This window comes from Homo sapiens, chromosome 3 (assembly GCF_000001405.40).
Source record: "Homo sapiens chromosome 3, GRCh38.p14 Primary Assembly".
NCBI classification, from domain to species: Eukaryota; Metazoa; Chordata; class Mammalia; order Primates; family Hominidae; genus Homo; species Homo sapiens.
The window spans coordinates 154390296-154411258 of record NC_000003.12 but is presented as its reverse complement, the minus strand read 5'-3'; the positions used below and the strand labels follow the sequence as shown (position 1 = coordinate 154411258).

The 20963-nt window shown below is 34.4% G+C and overlaps 1 protein-coding gene across 1 annotated transcript in view; it reads left to right on the top strand.

Annotated features, from left to right (window-relative positions):
• GPR149 (G protein-coupled receptor 149) overlaps window positions 1–20963 on the top strand; it is a 95248-nt gene that overhangs the window by 18932 nt on the left and 55353 nt on the right. The gene's annotated exons all lie outside the window — the stretch shown is intronic.

The window sequence follows — 20963 nt, the reverse complement described above, 5'->3', positions numbered from 1 at the left end:
TCTATTTGTGTTCTTTGAGAATTTTTGATGTAGGTATTTAATACTATGAACTTTTCTCTCAGCACCACTTTTGCTGTATCCCAGAGGTTTTGATAGGTTTTGTCACTATTATCATTCAGTTCAAAGAATTTTTAAATTTCCGTCTTGATTTCATTTTTGACCCAATAGTCATTCAGGAGCAGGTTATTTAATTTCCATGTATTTGCATGGTTTTTAGGCTTCCTTTTGGAGTTGATTTCCAATTTTATTCCACTGTGGTCTGAGAGAGTACTTAATATAATGTTAATTTTCTTAAATTTACTGAGACTTGTTTTGTGGCCTATCATATGGTCTATTTTGGAGAACGTTCCATGTACTGATGAATAGAATGTATATTCTGCAGTTATTGGGTAGAATGTTTTGTAAATATCTGTTAAGTCCATTTGTTCTAGGATATAGTTTAAGTTCATTGTTTCTTTGTTGACTTCCTGTCTTGATGACCTGTCTAGTGCTGTCCGTGGAGTATTAAAGTCCCCCACTATTATTGTGCTGCCATCTATCTCATTTCTTAGGTCTAGTAGTAATAGTTTTATAAATTTGGGAGCTCCAGTGTTAGGTGCATGTATATTTAGAATTGTGATATTTTCCTGTTGGACTAGTTCTTTTATCATTGTATAATGTCCCTCTTTGTCTTTTTAAACTGCTGCTACTTTACAGTTTGCTTTGTCTGATGTAAGAATAGCTACTCTTGCTCACTTTTGGTGTCCATGTGAATCCTTACGTGTTAGGCGAGTCTCCTGAAGATGGCAGAAACTTGGTCAGTGAACTCTTATCCACTCTGCCATTCTGTATCTTTTAAGTGGAGCATTTAGACCATTTACATTCAATGTTAGTATTGAGACGTGAGGTACTATTCTATTAATCATGCTATTTGTTGCCTGAATAACTTGGTTTTTTTCATTGTTATTGTTATATAGGTCCTATGAGATTTATGCTTTTAGGGGGTTCTGTTTTGGTGTATTTTGAGGATTGGTTTCAATAGTTAGAGCTCCTTTTAGCAGTTCTTGTAGTGCTGGCTTGGTAGTGGCAAATTCTCTCAGCATTTGTTTGTCTGAAAAAAACTGTGTCTTTCCTTCATTTATGAGGCTTAATTTCACTGGATACAAAATTATTGGATGATGATTGTTTTGTTTAAGGAGGCTAAAAGTAGGACCCCAATCCCTTCTAGGTTGTAGGATTTCTGCTGAGAAATCTGCTGTTAATCTTATAGGTTTTCCTTTATATGTTACCTGATGCTTTTGCCTCACATCTCTTAAGATTATTTCCTTTATCTTGACTTTCGGTAACCTGATGACTATGTTCCTAGGAGATGATCTTTTTGCAGTGAATTTCCCAGGTATTCTTTGACTTTCTTGTATTTGGATGTCCAGATGTCTAGCAAGACTGGGGAGGTTTTCCTGGATTATTCCCTCAAATATGTTTTTCAAACTTTCAGATTTCTCTTTTTCCTCAGGAACACGATTTGTTCTTAGGTTTGGATGTTTAACACAGTCCCAAACTTCTTGTAGGCTTTGTACATTTTTAAAAATTCTTTTTTCTGTATCTTTGATGGATTTGGTTAATTCAAAAGCCTGTCTTTGAGCTCTGAAGTATTTTCTTCTGCTTGTTCAATTCTATTGCTGAGACCTTCCAGTGCATTTTGCATTTCTCTGAGTGTGTCCTTCATTTCCAGAAGTTGTGATTGTTTTTTATTTATGCTTTCTATTTCACTGAAGAATTTTCCTTTCGTATCCTGTATCATGTTTTTGATTTCTTGAAGTTGGACTTCACCTTTCTTTGGTGCCTCCTTGATTAGCTTAATAATTGACCTTCTCAATTGTTTTTCTGGAAATTCCGAAATTTTGTCTTGGTTTGGATCTACTGCTGGTGAGCTGGTATGATCTTTTCAGGGTGTTAAAGAAACTTGTTCTGTCATATTACTAGAATTGTTTTTCTGGTTCCTTCTCATTTGGGCAGACTATGTCAGAGGGAAGATCTGGAATTCAAGGGCTGCTGTTCAGGTTCTTTTGTCCCACGGGATGATCCCTTGATGTGGTGTTCTCCTTCTTCCCCTAGGAATGGGGCTTCCAGAGGCCAAACTGTAGTGATTGTTTTTGCTCTTCTGGGTCTAGCCACCCAGCAGAGCTACTGGATTTCAGTCTGGTACTGGGGAGTGTCTGCAAAGAGTCCTGTGATGTGATCATCTTCAGATCTTGCAGACACGGATACCAGCAACTGCTCTGGTGGAAGTAGCAGGGGCATGAAGTGGACTCTGTGAGGGCCTTTGGTTGTGTTTTTGTTCAGTGTGCTGGTTTTGTGTTGATTGGCCTTCGGCCAGGAAGTGACACTTTCAAGAGTGCATCAGCTGCAGCCCTATAGGGAGGATGTAAACTTGCCCTAGGGACACCTGGTTAAGTATTCAGGTTTCTCAGGTGGTGAGCAGGGCCATAGAGCTCCCAAGAGGTTATTGCTTTTGCCTTCGACTACCAAGGCAGATAGAGAAAGACCACCAGGTGGTAGCAGGGATAGGCATGTCTGAGCTCAGCCTCTCCTTGGGCAGGGCTTGCTGTAGCTGCTGTGGGGGATGGGGGTGTGGTTCCCTGTCCAATGGAGTTATATTCCCAAGGAGAGGATTATGGCTACCTATGCTGAGTCACACAGGTCACCAGGAAAGTGGGGGAAAGTCAACAGTCACAGGCCTCACCCCTCTCCCAAATGCAGCCCACAGTCCTAGAGGCCCATCTCACTCCCACTGTGCCCCACTAACAGCCTTGCGTCTATTTCCAGGCAGCCAGTGACCAGGCTGAGAACTTGCCTCAGACCACAGGCCTCCCTGCTGAGAATGCAAGCTGACTCACAGGTTTTTGGGGTCTCAGGGAGCCTGCAGTGGTGATCCAATTCCTTCAGTGGGTCTGTGGATTCTTTTGGCTTTCTTGGTATGTTCCTGCAGTAGTTCTTGGAGCAAAAGTTCATGATGTGAGTCTCCACATGCTGCTCTGTCCATCTGAGTGGGAGCTGCAAGCTAGTCCTGCCTCCTATCTGCCATCTTCACAAGGTCTTATTTCTACCATTCTTTCTATATTTAGCATAGGAATTCTACTGTAAGGAAAAGCTATCTCTTCTCCTTCGTTTACCTATTTATTTATTTATATCAGTATGGATTCACAGATATTTATTTTAACTTATAGATCATAAACTATGCTATCATTTATTTTGTTACCCCAACTATCCTATATTTGGCCATTGGGAGCTCTTTCATGTTGGTATCTCTATCTATCCAACATGACATAATCATTTTTTAGCATTTTCTGACTTTCTGACAGCATGAGATATCCCAGCATCATTGTGTATTTTCCTTAACCTGGCCCCAGAATCAAGAGTTTTTCCAAGGAGCTCTGGTTCCTTTAATTGGAAAATAGTATTTAGAAGCCAAAATCTGGGTGCTAGATACACTCATTGCTACTGAGGTGTCTTGCTTCTAGGCCCTAACCTACAGAGCTAGGAAATATATATATATATATGTGTGTGTGTGTGTGTGTGTGTGTGTATACACATGACATATACACACATGAACATATATATACACATATGCTTATGTGTTTATCTATATTTCTATATTAATCACCCCATATTAATAATTTTAAAACAAGTTTATACTGATACCTCCAATTCCAATCAACTACTACAGAGTTCATTCAAGCCTTTCTCTTTTCTTATTTACTTCCTTTCCTGACAGTGAAAAAACAGGCTTTTATCCACAAATACGTTTACTTTTTTGCCCAGTTCTGATATACACATAAAGAAATTTTAGAATTGCTAACCCACACCCCTGTAGGAAAAAATATTAAGAGTATAATAATTGCAAATGGTTATTACCTTTAGCTTACAGGTTACAGTCAAAACATTATCTTCCAAAGTTACTTAGGTCAGTTCTTTGCATTTCCATTTTTCCATTCCCTTCATTTTATATTACATTTTTCATTATTTATATTTGACTATGTGAAGCATGATCAGGTTTTCAAGCATCAGAACTATATAAAACATGATGTGGTTTGGCTGTGTCTCCACCCAAATCTCATTTTGAATTGTAGCTCCCATAATTCCCATGTGTTATGGGAGGGACCCAGTGGGAGATCCTTGAATCATGAGGGGTGGTTTCCCCCATACTCTTCTTGTGGTAGAGAATAAGTCCCACAATATCTGACAGTTTTATAAGGGGAAACTCCTTTCACTTGATTTTCATTCTCTCTTGCCTGCCACGATCTAAGACATCCCTTTTCCTGTCTGTCATGATTGTGAGGCCTTCCCAGCCATGTGGAACTGTGAATCCATAAAACTTTTCTTTCTTTATAAATTACCCAGTCTCAGGTATGTCTTTATCAGCAACGTGAGAACGGGCTAATACAAAAGGCATATGCGCTTCATTCATTTTTCTTCCCTGATTTTATTTTTCTCATTCTTTCCACCTTGTTCCTACATACCTTCTGTAAGTAACCACTCATATAGTTTATGGTTTAACGTTCCTGTATTTCTTTTTGCAAAATTGGGTAGATACATGTTTGTCTTCTTATATCCCCTCTTTTCTTACACGTAGATATGATTCATGCTTTACTTTTTTCCTTAACAATAAATACTGGACATCTCTACATATTAGTTCATAGACATCTTCCTCATGGCTGTGTAATAACCCAGTGTGAATATACCATAGTCAATTTAACTACTCTGTAGCTTGTTTCCAATATTTTGCAATAAAATCAGTACTGCAATGAGTAACTAACCTTGTATGTATGTATTTGCACATTGTTGGAGGTGTAGCTTCAGGATAAATTCTTAGAATTAGAGTTTCTCGGTCAAATAAAAAATGTAGTTTTGCTAGGAATTGCCAAATACCCCTCTAGAAGGTTATACCAGTTTCTACTCCCACCAGCAATGTGTGAAAGAGGATCTTTTTTCCTACCACTTCAGTAACAGTGTATATTATCACACTTTTAAACTTTTTCCAGTGTGATAGGAGAGAAATGATTTCTCAGGGTTGTTTTAAATTATACTTATCTAATTGTGAGCAAGCTTGAATAGTTTTTATATATTTAAGGAACTTCTATCTTTTTCTCTATTATAAATTGTTATTATTTTTTCCAATTTTTATAGAGATTTCTTTTTCTTCATCTTCTAATTTTTAAGAGTTCTTTACATATTAGAAATATTAGTTCTTCATCCATTATATCCTATGTTACAAATATTTTTCAGCATTTATCAGATACCTTTTGATTTTTGTTTATAGTATTTTTTTACCATGCACAATTTTTTGTTTATAATAAAAATTATCAATCTTTTTATTAATTGCATTTGAATTTTTTTAATAATAGTTAGAAATCCAGTTTAAAATGGAATTCACCCATGCTTTTTTCTAAGTACTTGTATGGCTTAATTATTTCTATTTTGATCCCAGGTCCATTTGGATTTTATTTTTGTGGTAGATGTAAGATAGGGTATAATTGTATATTTTTTCCAAATGGTTGCTTATTATTATTAAAAAGTATTATTTATTTAAAGGTCAATCATTACCCACAGTGAGTTATCGTCTTTATCTTATACATTTCTATATCTACTTGGATCTATTTCTAGGCTTTCTACTTTTTTTTTTTTTTTTTTTTTGATGGAGTCTTGCTCTGTCACCCAAGCTGGAGTGCAATGGTGCAGTCTCAGCTCACTGCAGCCTCTGCTTCCCAGGTTCAAGTGATTTTCCTGCTTCAGCCTCCTGAGTAGCTGGGACTACAGGCGCAAGCCACCATGCCCAGCTAATTTTTTGTATCTTTAGTAGAGACGGGATTTCACCGTGTTAGCCAGGATGGTCTCGCTCTCCTGACCTCATGATCCACCCACCTTGGCCTCCCAAAGTGCTGGGATTACCTGCGTGAGCCACCACACCTGGCCATATTCACTCTTTTTTGTCTTCAGTATAAATGAGGTTTTCTCTATCATTATACCCTCTCACTGGCTATTGTTTGTGTGTATTAAAGGTATTGATTTATGCCCGTAAATTTTATATCTGCCACATTACTGAATTCTTTTATCGTTTAAATTTATTTTATCATTATCAAAAATTTATAAGTATAATATCATATCATCTGCAAATAGAAATTGCTTTACTACTTCTTTATTAATTCTTATGCCTCTGTTTAATTTCTCTTGTCTGATTATATTGGCTAACACTCCTAAAACATTGTTGAATAGTGGAGGAGGTGGTAAGCATTCTTGCCTTCTTCCTGATTTTAGTGGAAAGGTTTCTGATGTTTTCCTATTAAGAAAGATGACAGCTCTCACTACTTTGTGAGGCAGATAATTTAAATTTCTGCTGCTGCTGCTGATGATGATGATGATGATAGCTAGTATTTATTGAATACTTGCTATGTTTCACATGAGGTTCTAAGTACTTTACAAAAAATTGCTCACTTAGTATTCACAAAAACTCTGTGTGGTTTGTACTGTTACTCAATTTTACAGATGAAAAAACTGAAGCACAGAGAAGTTAAGCCTAAGGTCTATCAGAGCCTGTGAACAAACTTCAGTTATCTGATTCCAGAGACAGTCCATATGTTCACTACCATACACTGTTTCGGAGAGATAATTTTGATAGTTAGCAATCCTTTCCTACACTGAGTTTAAATCTATTCCCCTCACAGAGGCAGATTAGTATCACCTAGGGGATCTTTAAATATGTCACAATCTCACCCATAGAAGTTATGATTTAATTGGTCTGGAGTGAGATTTGGGTATTATTCTCTAAAACTCTGTGTGTGGATATTTGAAAAATATATAACAGAGAACTTATATTTAGAGTATGTAACTTATAAAGAACACCAATAGTACAACAAGAAAACAATAGACAACCCAATAGTATGTGGGCAAAAGATTTAAACTGATACTTCATGTAAAAGGAAATCCAAATAATCATGGCCATGTGTAAAGGTATATCTCAATTAAAATAACAGTGAGTGACCACCACACACCCACACAAATAGCTCCAATTAAATATTCTGAAAATTTCAACAGTTAATGAGAATATGGAAAAACTTAAATGTATATAAACTGTTGGTACGATAAATTGTTAAAAACACTTTGTAAAACAGGTTAGAAATATTTCCAAAAGTTAAATATATCCATGCCTTATGCTTCAGCAATGACACTCTTGGTTACACATCCTAGAATTGCACTGTCCAATACATTAACCACTAGTCACATGTGGTTGTTTACATCTAAATAAATTAAACATTTTTTAAATTTAAAACTTCATTCCTCAGGTGCACTAACCACAGCTCAAGTACTCAGTAACCAGATGTGGCTGGTGACTACTGTACTGAGCAGCACCCATATGGAACAGGACCATCTTGCAGTTCTATTGGATAGTGCCACCTAAATCATATTTACATGCTGGCAGCTCTTTTTTTTTTCATAGAGTTAGCATTTAGGAATGGACCAAAAGTCCATCAACATTAGAATACATTGTTGAATTATTTTTACAATAGAATACCACATGCGGAATTGTATTTTTCATGAAGCCAGTGAAGCTGAAACTTTGGGCAACTCGCTTGTGCTGATCTCTTCCAAGGCTGGGAGGATCCCTATCAATGTGTTCATGGGAAAATATGTTTTCATAAAGTTAGCAAAAAAGAAGATTTCTATACTTTTTTAAAGAACAAAGCTATATATGCTTTCAAGCCCCTTGAAATCTGGTTCTACCTCTAACTAAAAAAGAACAGAACAAAACTAAAGCTAACAAAACATGAATGAGTTTTGCAAACATGACAGAAATGTAGCATAAAAAGCGCTGACACCCTCAAGCCCTTTTTGCCCATGCTACTGCCTAGCATAAAGCATCCCATATTGTACATTTGTCATCTGTTGTTTGGACCCAATTATGTCTTATCTCTGTTAAATTTCATCCTGCTTCCTTTAATTTACTCTTTCTTAATTTCAATAGCCTTTCCTAATGCTGTAAAAAATGCTTTCAGATGCTGCTCCTAAGATCTGGCTTCTATACTATGATACCAAAATTTGTGTCACCTATGAACTTAATAAGTTATCCTTCATGTTTCTATCCAAACCATTGATTGTGGATCAAGACAGGGCCAAAGACAGAAGCCCTGCTATACACTACTAGAAACAAGTCCTCTCATTCATTTTTATTTATTTAAAAACACTGTTAATATTTTGGGTTCATATAGTTATTAATTTACTTAGTTGCCCTTGCAATCAATATGTTTTTCCTCCCTCTTGTTCACAAAGATTCCATTAGGAAATTACAAAATGCTTTAATGGAATACTAACATAAAATTTTCAAATGCATTTCTTTCATCTGCCATTAGTTTATTCAGTAAATATTTTTCATAGAAGCACTGTGGATATAAAGATATAAGCCTCCTGCTTTCAAGTTCCACACAGGCATGTATGTGAAGAAGATTTTCAAACAATTAGCTGTACTTCAGTGAGAAAAAAAGTGTACAGGATATAGACAACGCACTTACAGACCACAGAAGGTGGAGTGGTAAGTCCAGCAACATTGAGGAAGAAAGGAATTGATCCACAAAGACTTAGTTGTAGAGAAATCATACCGTGTTTTGGGTCTTACAGCTTTTTTTTTCTTGGCTTTCAAACTCTGTCCTTTCATCTTAGAAAGATGGATCTTAGAAACTTTCATGGATCTTTGAAACTTTCATGGATCTTTGAAACTTTCTAGGAATTGATGTAAATATCACTTGTCTACTTTGTTGAATTCACTGCTTTCTATTCTATATTTATTTATTTATTTATTTATTTATTTATTTGAGACAGGGTCTCACTCTGCCATCTAGGCTGGAGTGCAGTGGTATGATCATAGCTCACCATAGCCTCCAACTCCTGGACTCAAAAGATCCCCTGCCTTAGCCTCGTAAGTATTGAGATTACAGGTGTGAGCCATGGTGCCTGGCCTGCTTCCCATTTTAAAAACTGAAAATATTTGCACAGTTTTAATGTTCCCATTTGCTTTAAGGACATCAGCAACAACCATATTCATACAGCAACTTTTCATGGTAACTTTCAGTATAATTATTTTCAGAGAGAAATTTGCACTTCTGCAGTAGCAAGGATCTCTCATTATTTTTATTTTAAATTTGTCTTTCTTAATATTCACAAATACTTTCTTAGTGCTTTAAGATTCATTTACAAAGGATACAGAAACAAGTTTGGAGCTGAGGATATCAGCTTCTTCTTTGCCATCCCTTGACTTGATGGCATTAGCTGCAAGAAGTGGGCCTATTCCTTATTTTGACCTTTTGATTTAAACATAGGTTTCCAAAGACCTACTTTGTTGCTTTAGTATTTTTGCAAGCCACAGATTATTACATTTATTTAGACTTCCTAACATCAAACTTCCCATCTTTTGCAATGAGTAATTTGTTGCATAGGTCTCCCTCAGGCCGGATCTGATCTGCACTAATTTTAAAGATGAAATTTTCCTTTATCCCTTAACTGCATCACTTATGATTATACAGCCAAAATTGCAGTCTTGACACTCACATGTAGGTTTTTTTTTCCTGTTTTTCCCCCCAGTTTGCCTTCTGAAAGTTGAAATGTATCTAGCCTACTAAGTTCAGCATTTTTCTTCTGGATATCACATACTCTAGGAATTAATAGTTGTTTTTCTCCTTAGGTATCCAACTCTTCTACTTTCACTAATTATTTCTCTCTTATTGATAAGAATTATATTCTAAGAAACTGTTCCTTCTTGCTTCCTGTACTCTCTGTGAGATGAAGCTGTCAGCAAGGCAAGGCAAAAATATGCCATCTGATTTGCTTTATAGTTTAATAGATCCCAGCAGAATCATTTGAAAACATTGCCTTGCTACTGGGCAAACACAGATTCTCTCCACCTTCAAAAATAATCTCTATTCAAGAGCCACCTTTTCTATACCTTAAGCTGTGATTTAGAAATATTTATTTAGTTCAGTGGCACTATCTGCAAAGCCAGAAAAGTGTCAACACAAAAAGCAAATTAATACCACTTGCTAACAATTATTAGCAATGTATAAGAGTCACCAATTTTAAGCAGTTATAGGAATTAAAAGAGAAAATTTTCAGAAAATAGCTCACAGTGTTTTGCATTTCATCCTTTAAGATAAAGATAAAATTTGAAACAGCTTTCTTCTCTCATGAATCATACAACACTAAGTGGTAAAACCAGGACTCAAACGCATTCGTCATCCTGTGATACAACAAAAAATTCTATAATATTTTAGTGTAAAAGTCTAGTGTGTGTCCATTCATTTTGGAACAAATATTACTCTAGATAAAATGATATTTAATATCCTTTGTTTTAATCACTAATTATCATGTGTTTTCACTTTAGTAGTGGCTAGTCTCTTATGAAATGTTGCAGGTAGAGCACGGGCTTTGGAAACAGGCAGGCCTGAGCTTTAAATCGCCTTCAAATATTTCAAGATTATGACTCTTATTAACTGCGTATAACTTAATTCTGTAACCTTAGGAGGGTGGCTTTACAACTTTTGATTCATTGCAATAAAAATGAAGCAGAAATTACTCAGAGATGATGTCATGTAATTCAATAGAACATAGTACAGTGGTATCAGGGGAGGCTCTGGGATTTCTACATAGAGAGAGCATCAGAATGACAATATTGTGGAAGGAGTGTCTAGAGAAATTATCTTAAAGTTCTTTGCATATAAAGCTCCTTGGTTTTCATTAGAGAGCATGTTTATTGAAGTGGCTTTGAGAACACAGTGAAGAATATTGAAAAGGATACTAAGACCCTCTTCGAGGTTACCCATTGACACAACCACTACATATTATATGAAATATTACTTAAGGCAAATAATATAATTTCTGATCCTTAGTAAGCTTATAAAACTACTATGAGGATTCAATATTATGATAATTTGTAAATAATTTCAAATAAGGGCCGGGCGCGGTGGCTCACCCCTGTAATCCCAGCACTTTGGGAGGCCGAGGCGGGTGGATCACGAGGTCAGGAGATTGAGACCATCCTGGCTAACACGGTGAAACCCCGTCTCTACTAAAAATACAGAAAATTAGCCGGGCGCAGTGGCGGGCGCCTATAGTCCCAGCTACTCGGGAGGCTGAGGCAGGAGAATGGCGTGAACCCGGGAGGCGGAGCTTGCAGTGAGCCGAGATCGCGCCACCGCACTCCAGCCTGGGCAACAGAGTGAGACTCCGTCTCAAAATAATAATAATAATAATAATTTCAAATACAATTATTGACACACGTATATGATAATAGTACAGAAGTACTATTGAGAGAACCTCCAGATATGCATGTATTTCATAGAGTAGGGGCTCTATAATATGCTGTTAACTGAATGAATAAATTTCAGTGAAAGCAACTGTGTTTTTCAAGCTGGAGTGTGGAGGTGATTTAGGTGTTTGTAACAGAGTTGTTTCCTTGCTCTTTGGTAAAGAAACTCAAAGGATATCAAAGACTTCCTAATAATAGTGCACCAAAGATACCTCAGGCCATGCCTTCAACTTCTAACAGTTTTAAATGACTAAATGGACCATCAGTCTCTAGAGCAGAGGAAAGTTGCTAACAGGCCTGAAAACGCTGAGGGAATTTTGATTCCAATGTGAAGACTTAAGTTCCACACTGAATTTAAAGTTCTACCTGGAACTCTAGGTTCAAAGTAGGATACAGAGTGATTAGAAAGAAGGATTACAAGCTTAGACTAAGGAGAAAGGTGATATTTACTACACCAAGTGATGACTGACAATTTTTGAACATTTTTGGGGAAAGAAAGGTTATAACTGGCCATCTTTATGTGAAAAATATTAATTTATAATAGCATTTATTCGTTTTCTAGTATTACATAAAGTTTAACTTTTATATGAGAGTTGCAGTATTTTTTACAAAAGTATGAAGAAAAAGTTATTGTAACATGAATCTTTGACAAGATATTCACATTACAGGTGTAAGCTCTGACTTGTCTTTAATGAACCTGACCTCTGGAGAAGTACTTACTATAGGAAAATATCATAAATCCAGCCAGTGGTTCTCAACCTCCTCCAGACGTTAAAACTTAAAAAAAAATACTAATACCAAAGCCCAACTTCCGAATAACCAAATGAGGATCCCAGCAGGTTGGGACTAGCATTTAGTGTTTCTTAAATTAATGATTCCAATGAACATCTTAGACTGAATAACACTAGTTTGCCTTTTATAAATCAAAGTTATAACATAATGAGGGAAAAAGTGTTCCAATTTTAATTAGAGTCCTTCTCTTATGTTTATTGGAGTTACATTCAGCTCTGTGAATAGGATGAGACGTCATTTTGTACGTTAATTTGAGCAAATGGTGAAAATTAAGCAGAGTTGACTTGATCCAATCTTCCTGCTGTTTGCCAAGTCATCAAGGGGTAATAATCATGAGCATCCATGAACAAATGGTATTGGTTTCTCTGAGTTAGTTCCTACATTGATGAAATGAGTCATGGCCATTTTTAATTATTTAAGATCCAAGAGCACATATGGAAATAGTTGGGTTTTTGAACTTGTCATTTCAGCCAAATTTCAATTTTAGTAATTATTCTGCTTACCTCATTTCCCCATGATATTATAGGGTTGTTGTTGTTTCTTTCTTTCTTTTTAAATTGTACTCAAAGCTTCCTGTTCTCAGCTGTGTAAATTGAAAAACCACAATGGTTTCAATTCAGATGCAAATAGAAATAACCATTCTGAATGATCTATTTTATAGTTTAGGATAAAAGACCATTAAAATAAGCAAGAAAAATATCAGAGATAGAGAAAATTGACACAATTTACTAAAAGCAACTTTCTTCTCCAGTGAAACTTTTTTTGTTTCAGAAAGTCAAGATATTGTCATTTTAAAACCTTGAAGAAAGCCTGGACCACAAGAGGAAAGGCGGTTTCCCTAATCATTACCTTAATTGTTATTTGTGTAGTACTTAGCAGTGTGTAACAAACTTTCACATGCATTGACTAATTTCACCCTCTTTCTAGATAGTCAGGGAAGATGTTTTCTTCCTCTTTGACTGACAGTTGAACTGAGATTAATATCCCAATGGTGTGTTGATAAATGTTTAACAACTGCAACTGGCATTGTGGGGAAAATGTGTATGTGTATAAGTGTGTATATATATAAGCTTATATGACCTTTACTGATATAAAGAATGTGTAGCACATAATTTACAAATAATATTAACATAGATATTACTTTGTATTGTAATTTCCATACAACTACCTGATTCTCACAGAATACTTTGGTTGATTTTTACAAAAATCTTATAACCATTGCCAACCTGTAGTTACAACTGACAATATAAATGTTGGTTAACATTTATATATACTAATGAGTAAGATAAAAATTAAATAACTAAGGTATATGCTAAACTCACTTGTCAATGAGTAATTTTTTATTGAATTACACAATAGTTTTCAAATATACAATTTCCTGTGCATCTCTTCCCAAGTCTGCATTCAATGATGTCACAGTGCTAGCTTTAAATCAGCCATGGTGGGAGTATTTATAGCATGCAAGTCAGAAAATGCGACAAATTAGGACTCGTGATGTGCAGCAACACAATATTATATAGTATTTTCAACATATAGATACAATAGATGGAAATAATCTCAAGAACATGAGTAATAACAAAATATATTAGAATAATTGGGAGTGATGAGTTTTGAGTATTTATTGCCTTTGTTTTTCATATAATTCAGTTTAAGTTTATATAATTTATTTTTAATAATCAGCTTGCAAGATTTCTAAAAATTGCATGAGCCAGTTTGAGCCAACTCTAGCACACTCCTGACATAATCCATTCTTTAAGAAAATACAGCATAAAATGCATTCAAAAACAACCAAAGTCTGATCATATAAGCCATAATCCCTCCAAGCTGGCTGTCCTCAACTGCTCTTTCCCTCTCTGCCCTCTCTTAGACTGGTCTTTTCTGACCCTTCTTAAAATTTGATTCTTGCTCTGTTTTTTCATTTATGAGCCTGTCCTTTACCAGACACCTCACCTGAGAGTTGGTTTAGGTGTCTGGTCTTCCCAATTTGACTCTCAACTTTCCCCAATTAATAGGAGTTGGATTTGCTTCCATTTCAAATTCAAGCTCTAATTCAGCAACACTTACTTCTCTCCTTCCTCTCACCATATCCAAAAGACACAATAATCAGTGGGAAAGACTCAAACACCCAAGTTACAAGGCTGGCATTATTATACATTTTAAACTCAAGGTCATACCTTCTGACTCAATTTTAGTGCTCTTAAAAACAACAACAACAACAATGACAAAAAATATATATATAATATAATAAAAATAAAAACCCTTTCTTTAAAATAAGGAGATAACAGAAAAGACCATCTATTTTTTTTAACCTCTACTCCCTCACTACTCCAGTCTGATAGTCTGATAGAAATGATTCATGAAGAGCTAAAGTGTTAAAAAGACAAAGGGAAGAGCAATAGGAACTCGCACCTACAAAGTTCTTACATACATAATAAAGTCTGATCTTGATATTTATATTCCTAAAAATATTTTGTTGATATCAAGCTTTATTTGTAATTGTGTTTTATAGAATCATATTTTGTTTACATTTAGATATATTATAATTTAGATTTAAACTCCCTAAAAATGATACCCTACCAAATTATATAATGATTAATTTAAACTGTCTAAAAATGACACCCTACCAATGCCCTCATACTAAGTCACAACAAATTTAGATTTGTGGAGACTTTGAAGCAAAAGAAGAGTAACGAAGTCATCTAACTACAGACAGAAACATTTTAAGCCTCCCATTGCTACAAGTTAAAATTCATAAATCAAAAGAAAATGTATTTTAAACAGATATATTTATAATCAAGAATACTGTTGCTTTAGTAATGTCTTAAACAAAAATGAAAATTTCTTAATAATGGAAATAAAAAACATGTGAACTCTACTATTCCTCAACAATTAATTAGGTGCTTGAATTTGTTTCTTAAGTGTCTGTGACCTGTCTTGTAAAATGAGAATTGTTAGTTGATCCCACACTAAACAAACATTTCCTAATTTAAAAATGGGAGTTGATCCGAATGAAAAATTTATGTAATTTTATATGATTTATAAGTTAAAATTCAGCTAGGCAACGTTAAAAAAAATCTGTTTGGAACAAAATGTTCCAATGAGAATCTCAGAATTCAGACCACCTCAGTGCTTTTTAGACTTAGGTTCAAAACTAGACACACATTAGCATATTTATAATTCTTGATTGCTGGTTCCTCTATCTGAGCCTAAGGAATCAGGAAAAATATTGAATAGTCAAGAAATTATACACTTTCAAATATTAAATATTTTGAATCCCTTGGCTGTGTTTTTCTATAAAGAAATCACATTTGGTTTGTTTGTTTATTTGTTTGTTTGAGACAGGGTCTCCCTCTGTCACCCAGGCTGGAGTACAGGAGTACAGTGGCACAGTCATAGCTCACTGAAGCCTCCAACTTTTGGGCTCGAGGATCCTCCTACCTCAGCCTCCTGAGCAGCTGGAACTACAGGCACACACCACCATGCCTGGCTAAAGTTTAGTTTAGTTTATTTTCGTAGAAACAGGGTCTTACTATGTTGCCCAAGCTGGGCTCCAACTCCTAGGCTCAAGCAATCCTCCTGCCCTGGCCTCCCAAAGTGCTAGGGTTACAGGCATGGGCTAAAGCCCAAAAAGTAACTTATAAATGATTTCCTGCTTTCCTACTATTTTTAAAATTATATATATATATACTTATATATATATAATTTTACATATATTGTGTTTTTAGAATCATATTTTGTTTACATTTAGATATATATATATCAAGGTTTAAAAAACATTACCTTTAACTGGTAGAGTGTATATGTTCTTTAAGGTATTCATGGTTTTAGTCTTGCTCTAGAAATTACGATAAAACTTGATTTTAAAGGTATTTCCCAAAATCTGCCTTCTTAACTTGCTGCTCACATTCTAAGAATAAGTCAGTTCTTCTTAGAAGTATTATTTATTGCTTTTTTTGGTCAGTATCTCAATCTTCATATCTGTTCTGGTTTTTTAGCAAGTTGGTATCCCAGCACTCACTATTCTTTCTAAAATCTTCTGATATTTAAAAATCCTTCCTCATTATAGTTTTTTACCTACATGAACTATAGACTTGCTGATTTAAGACAATATATTTCTGCCTTGTAATCTGTAAGAAGGCAATTATTTGTTTTATAAATAAAGAAGGGAGGAGTTAACTACAATAATAAATAGTAGATGGAAGCTACTAACAGTTGGAATGCTATTAGAAGATCATTACAATAGCCATTCTAACACATGTGAAGTGATATCTCACTGTGATTTTGATGTGCATTTTTCTGATGACTAGTGATGTTGAGCATCTCATCACATATCTGTTGGCCATTTGTATGTCTTCTTTGGACTAATATCTATTCAACCCCAGAGCATATTTTTAAAAGTTGGTTATTAATTGTTGCTTTTTCTATGCATTGAGTTGTATGAGTTCCTTATATATTCTGAAAATTAACCTGTTATCTGATATTAACCTCTTATCTGATATATGGTTTACAAATATTTTCTTCTATTCTGTAGGTTACCTTTTCATGCTATTGATTGTTTCCTTTGCTGGACAAAAGCTTTTTAGTTTCATGTATTTCCACTTGTCTGTTTTTCGTTTTGTTGCCCATGCTTTTGGCATTACATCCATGAAATCATTGCCAATAGTAACATCATAAAGTTTTTTCCCTATATTTTCTTCTGATAGTTTTACAGTTTCAGGACTTATGTTTAAGCACTTAAACCATTTTGAGCAAGGGTCCACTTTCATTCTTTTGCATGTGGATGTGCAATTTTCCCAGCACCAATTATTGAGAATATGATACTTTCCCCATTGTTTATTCTTGGTGCCCTTCTTAAAGATTAGTTGATTATATAAATGTGGGTTTACTTCTAGGCTCTCTATTCTGTTCCATTTGTCCATATGTCTGTCTTTATGCCAGTACTATATCGTTTAAATTACTATAGCCTTGTAATGTATTTTGAAAATCAGGAAATGTGATGCCTCCAGTTTTGCTCTTCCTTCTTAAAATTGTTTTGGCTATTTGGTGTTTTTTGTGATTCCATATGAATCTTAGAACTATTTCTTCTCTTTCTGTAAAAGATGTGATTGGGTTTTTTGGTAGGGATTGCATTGAGTCTCTACATTGCTTTGAGTAATATAGACATTTTAACAATATTAAGTTCCAACACAAACATGGAATATCTTCTCATTTGTTTATATTCTTTAATTTTTTGTCAGTGGTTTATAGAGTTCAGTATATTAGTCTTTCATCTCCTTAGTTAAGTCTATTCCTAAGTATTTTATTATTTTTGATGCTATTGTAAACAGGATTGTTTGCCTAATTTCCTTTCAAATAGCTCATTGTTAGTATATAGAAACACAGCTAATTTTTGTATGTTGATTTTGTATCCTGCTGTATTACTGAGTCATTTATTAATTATAATAGTTCTTTGGTAGAGTCTTTAGGGTTTTCTATATATAAGATCATGCCATCTGCAAGCATGGATAACTTTAACTTTTTCTTTCTCACCTACATGCCTTTTTTTCCTGCCTAATTACTCAGGCCAGGATTTCTCTACTATGCTGAATAAAAGTAGCGAGAGTGGGCATCCTTGCCTTGTTCCTGGTCTTAAAGAAAACACTTTTAAAAGCTCTTCACTATTGAGTGTAATGTTAGCTATGATAATCTCATGTATGGCTTTTCATGTTAAGGTAATTTCCCTCTATTTCTAGTCTGTTGAGAGTTTTTAACATGAAAGGATGTTGAATTTTAACAAATGCTTTTTTGCATCTATTAAGATCATGTGGTTCTTATCTTTTATTCTGTCAGTGTGGTGTATTACCTTAATTGATTTTTATATGTTGAACCATACTTGCCTTCCAGGGATAAATTGCAGCTGGTCATGGGTGTCTGATCCTCTTAGTAAGTTGTTGAACTTGGTTTGTCAGTATTTTCTTGAGGATTTTTGCATCTATGGTCATCAAGGATATTGGCCTGTAGTTTTCTTTTCTTCTGATATTTTTGTCTGGCTTTGGTATCAGGCAACACTGGCCTCATAAAATCAGATTGAAAGTGTTCCATCTTCCTCAATTCTTTAGAGGAGATTGAGAAGAATTGGCATTAATTCGTTTTTGGATGTTTGTTCAAATTCACTATTGAAGCCATTTGGTTCTAGGCTTTTCTTTGGTAGGAAGTTTTTGATTACTATTTCAATCCCTCCACTGGGTATAGGTCTGTTCAGATTTTCTGTTTCTTCATGACTCAACCTTGGTAGGTTGTATGTTTCTGAGAATTTATCTATCTCTTCCAGGTAATCCAATTTATTGGTGTATAGTTGCTCATAGTAGTTTTTTACAATCTTTTTATTAATAGTTTGGTTCCATCAGTTGTAATGTCTCCTGTTTTATTTCTAATTTTATTTATTTGGGCCTTCCCTCTTTTTTTTTAATCTACTAGTGGTTTGTCTATTTTGTTTATACTTTCAAAAAATAAACTCTTACTTTTGTCCATTTTTGTCACATTTTTATTCTATTTCATTTAGTTTTGTTCTAATCTTTATTATTTCCTTCTTTCTGCTAACTTTGGCCTTAGTTTGTTCTTCTTTTTCAGCTTCTTGAGACGTAAAGTTAGGTTGATTATTTGAGAGTTTCCTGCTTTTTAAATATAGGCATTGACTGCTATAAACTTCTCTCTTAGTACCTCTTTTGCTGCATCCCCTAAGTTCAGGTATGTTGGGGTTTTTTTGTTTGGGTTTTTTTGTTTGTTTGTTTGTTTTCATTTGTCTTAAGAGACTTTCTAATTTTCCTTTTGATTTCTTCCTTGACCCATTAGTTGTTCAAGGTGTGTTTAGTTGTCACATTTTGCAAATTTTCCAGTTTTTCTTCAGCTACTGATTTCTAGTTTTATTCTATTGTGATTGGAAAAGAGGAGAAGGTATATTCTGCTGCTCTTTGGTGAAATGTTTTGTATAGATCTGTTAGATTAATTTGTTCTATACTGTTGTTCAGATCCTGTTTCCTTATTGATTTTTTTCAAATGTTATATTATTAAAAGTGAGATATTGAAGTCTCTCACAATTATCATATTATTTATTTCTTTTATCAGTTATGTTACATTTTGCATTGTATATTTAAGTGCTCTGATGTTGGATGTGTATACATTCATAGTTGTTATATCTTTTTGGTGAGTTGATCATTTTATCTTTGTATAATATCCTTCTTTGTCTCATGACAGTTTTTGACTTAAAGTCTATTTTGTCCAATATAAGTATAGCCAGTCTTTCTTTTGGTTAAAATTTGCAGCATGATTTTTTCCATCCCTACACTTTTGGCCTATATGTGTCCTTAAATCTAAACTTAATAAGTTTATTAAGTTTATTAATAATAATAAGTTATGTAAACTTAATAAGTTGTCAAACTTAAGAAGTTTACATAAATTGATCCAATATAAGTTGGATCTTGTTTTTTTTCATCCATTCAGCTACATTATGTCTTTTGATTGAGGAGTTTAATCCCTTTATATTTAGAGTAATTAATGTACTTCCTTTTGATGGGCGAGTACTTACTATAGCCATGTTTTTTTACTACCTTGTAGTTGTTTTGTTCATCTTTTTTTCCTTGCTGTATTCTTCTGTATTTTGTTTTGTATTTATTGCTATACTTTGATTTCCTTCTCTTTTTTTATGGCTCTTCTGTATGTACTTTCTTTGTGGTTACCAAGAAGCTTGTATAAAACAACTCATAGTCATAACAGTTTATTCTAAGCTTTAAACAACTTAACTTCAGTTGCATACAAAAGCTACACTTTTACTTCTCCCCCCACAAACCCCCCACACACGTTATGTTCTTGATGTCATGATTTATATCTTTTTATATTGTGTATCAATTAACACATTTTATGGTTATAATTATTTCAGTACTTTTGACTTTTTTATATTATGATTAAAAGTTTACCCACTACCATTACAGTATTATAGTATTTGTCTTTATATTTACCCTTACCAGCAAGTTTTATACTTTCATATATTTTATTATTGCTGTTTAGCTTCCTTTTGTTTCAACTTGAAGAACTTCCTTTAGCATTTCTTGTTAGGCAGGTCTGGTAATGATGAACTCCCTCAGATTTTATTTGTGAAGGAAAGTCTTTATCTCTCCTTTATTTTTGAGATCATTTTTATCAGGTATAGTATTCTTAGCAGGGGTCTTTTCTTTCAGCACTTTGAATTTATTCTCATCTACCTTCTCTGGCATGCAATGTTTCTGCTGATAAATCTGTTGATAACCCCACGGAGATTTCCTTGTATGGAATGAGTCACTTTTCTCTTGCTGCTTTCAAATTCTCTCTTTGTCTTCAAATTTTGTCAGTTCAATTATGTGTCTCACTGTGAATTTCTTTGGGTTTACTCTATTTGAATTTGTGGAACATCCTTGATCTGGGTGTTCATTTCCTTCCCTAGATTTGGGAAGTTTTCATTCATTATTTCTTTGAATAAGCTTTCTGTCTCTTTATCTCTATTTCTCCTTCTTCTTACACTCCCATAATGTGTATATTAGTCCACTCAATGGCATCCTATAAGTCCCTTAAGCTTTCTTCATTCTTTTTTCTCTTTGCTTTTCTAACTAGATAATTTCCAGTGACCTGTCTTGAATTTCACTAATCCTGTCTTCTGTTTGATCTAGTCTGCTGTTGAACTTCTCTAGTTAATTTTTCATTTCAGTTATTTACTCTTCATCTCTATGATCTGTTTCACATTTTCTTATATTTTCTATCTCTTTGTTGAAATTCTCCTTTTGTTTATATGCTTTGTTCTCCTGAACTCACTGAGCACCTTTACAAGCATCTA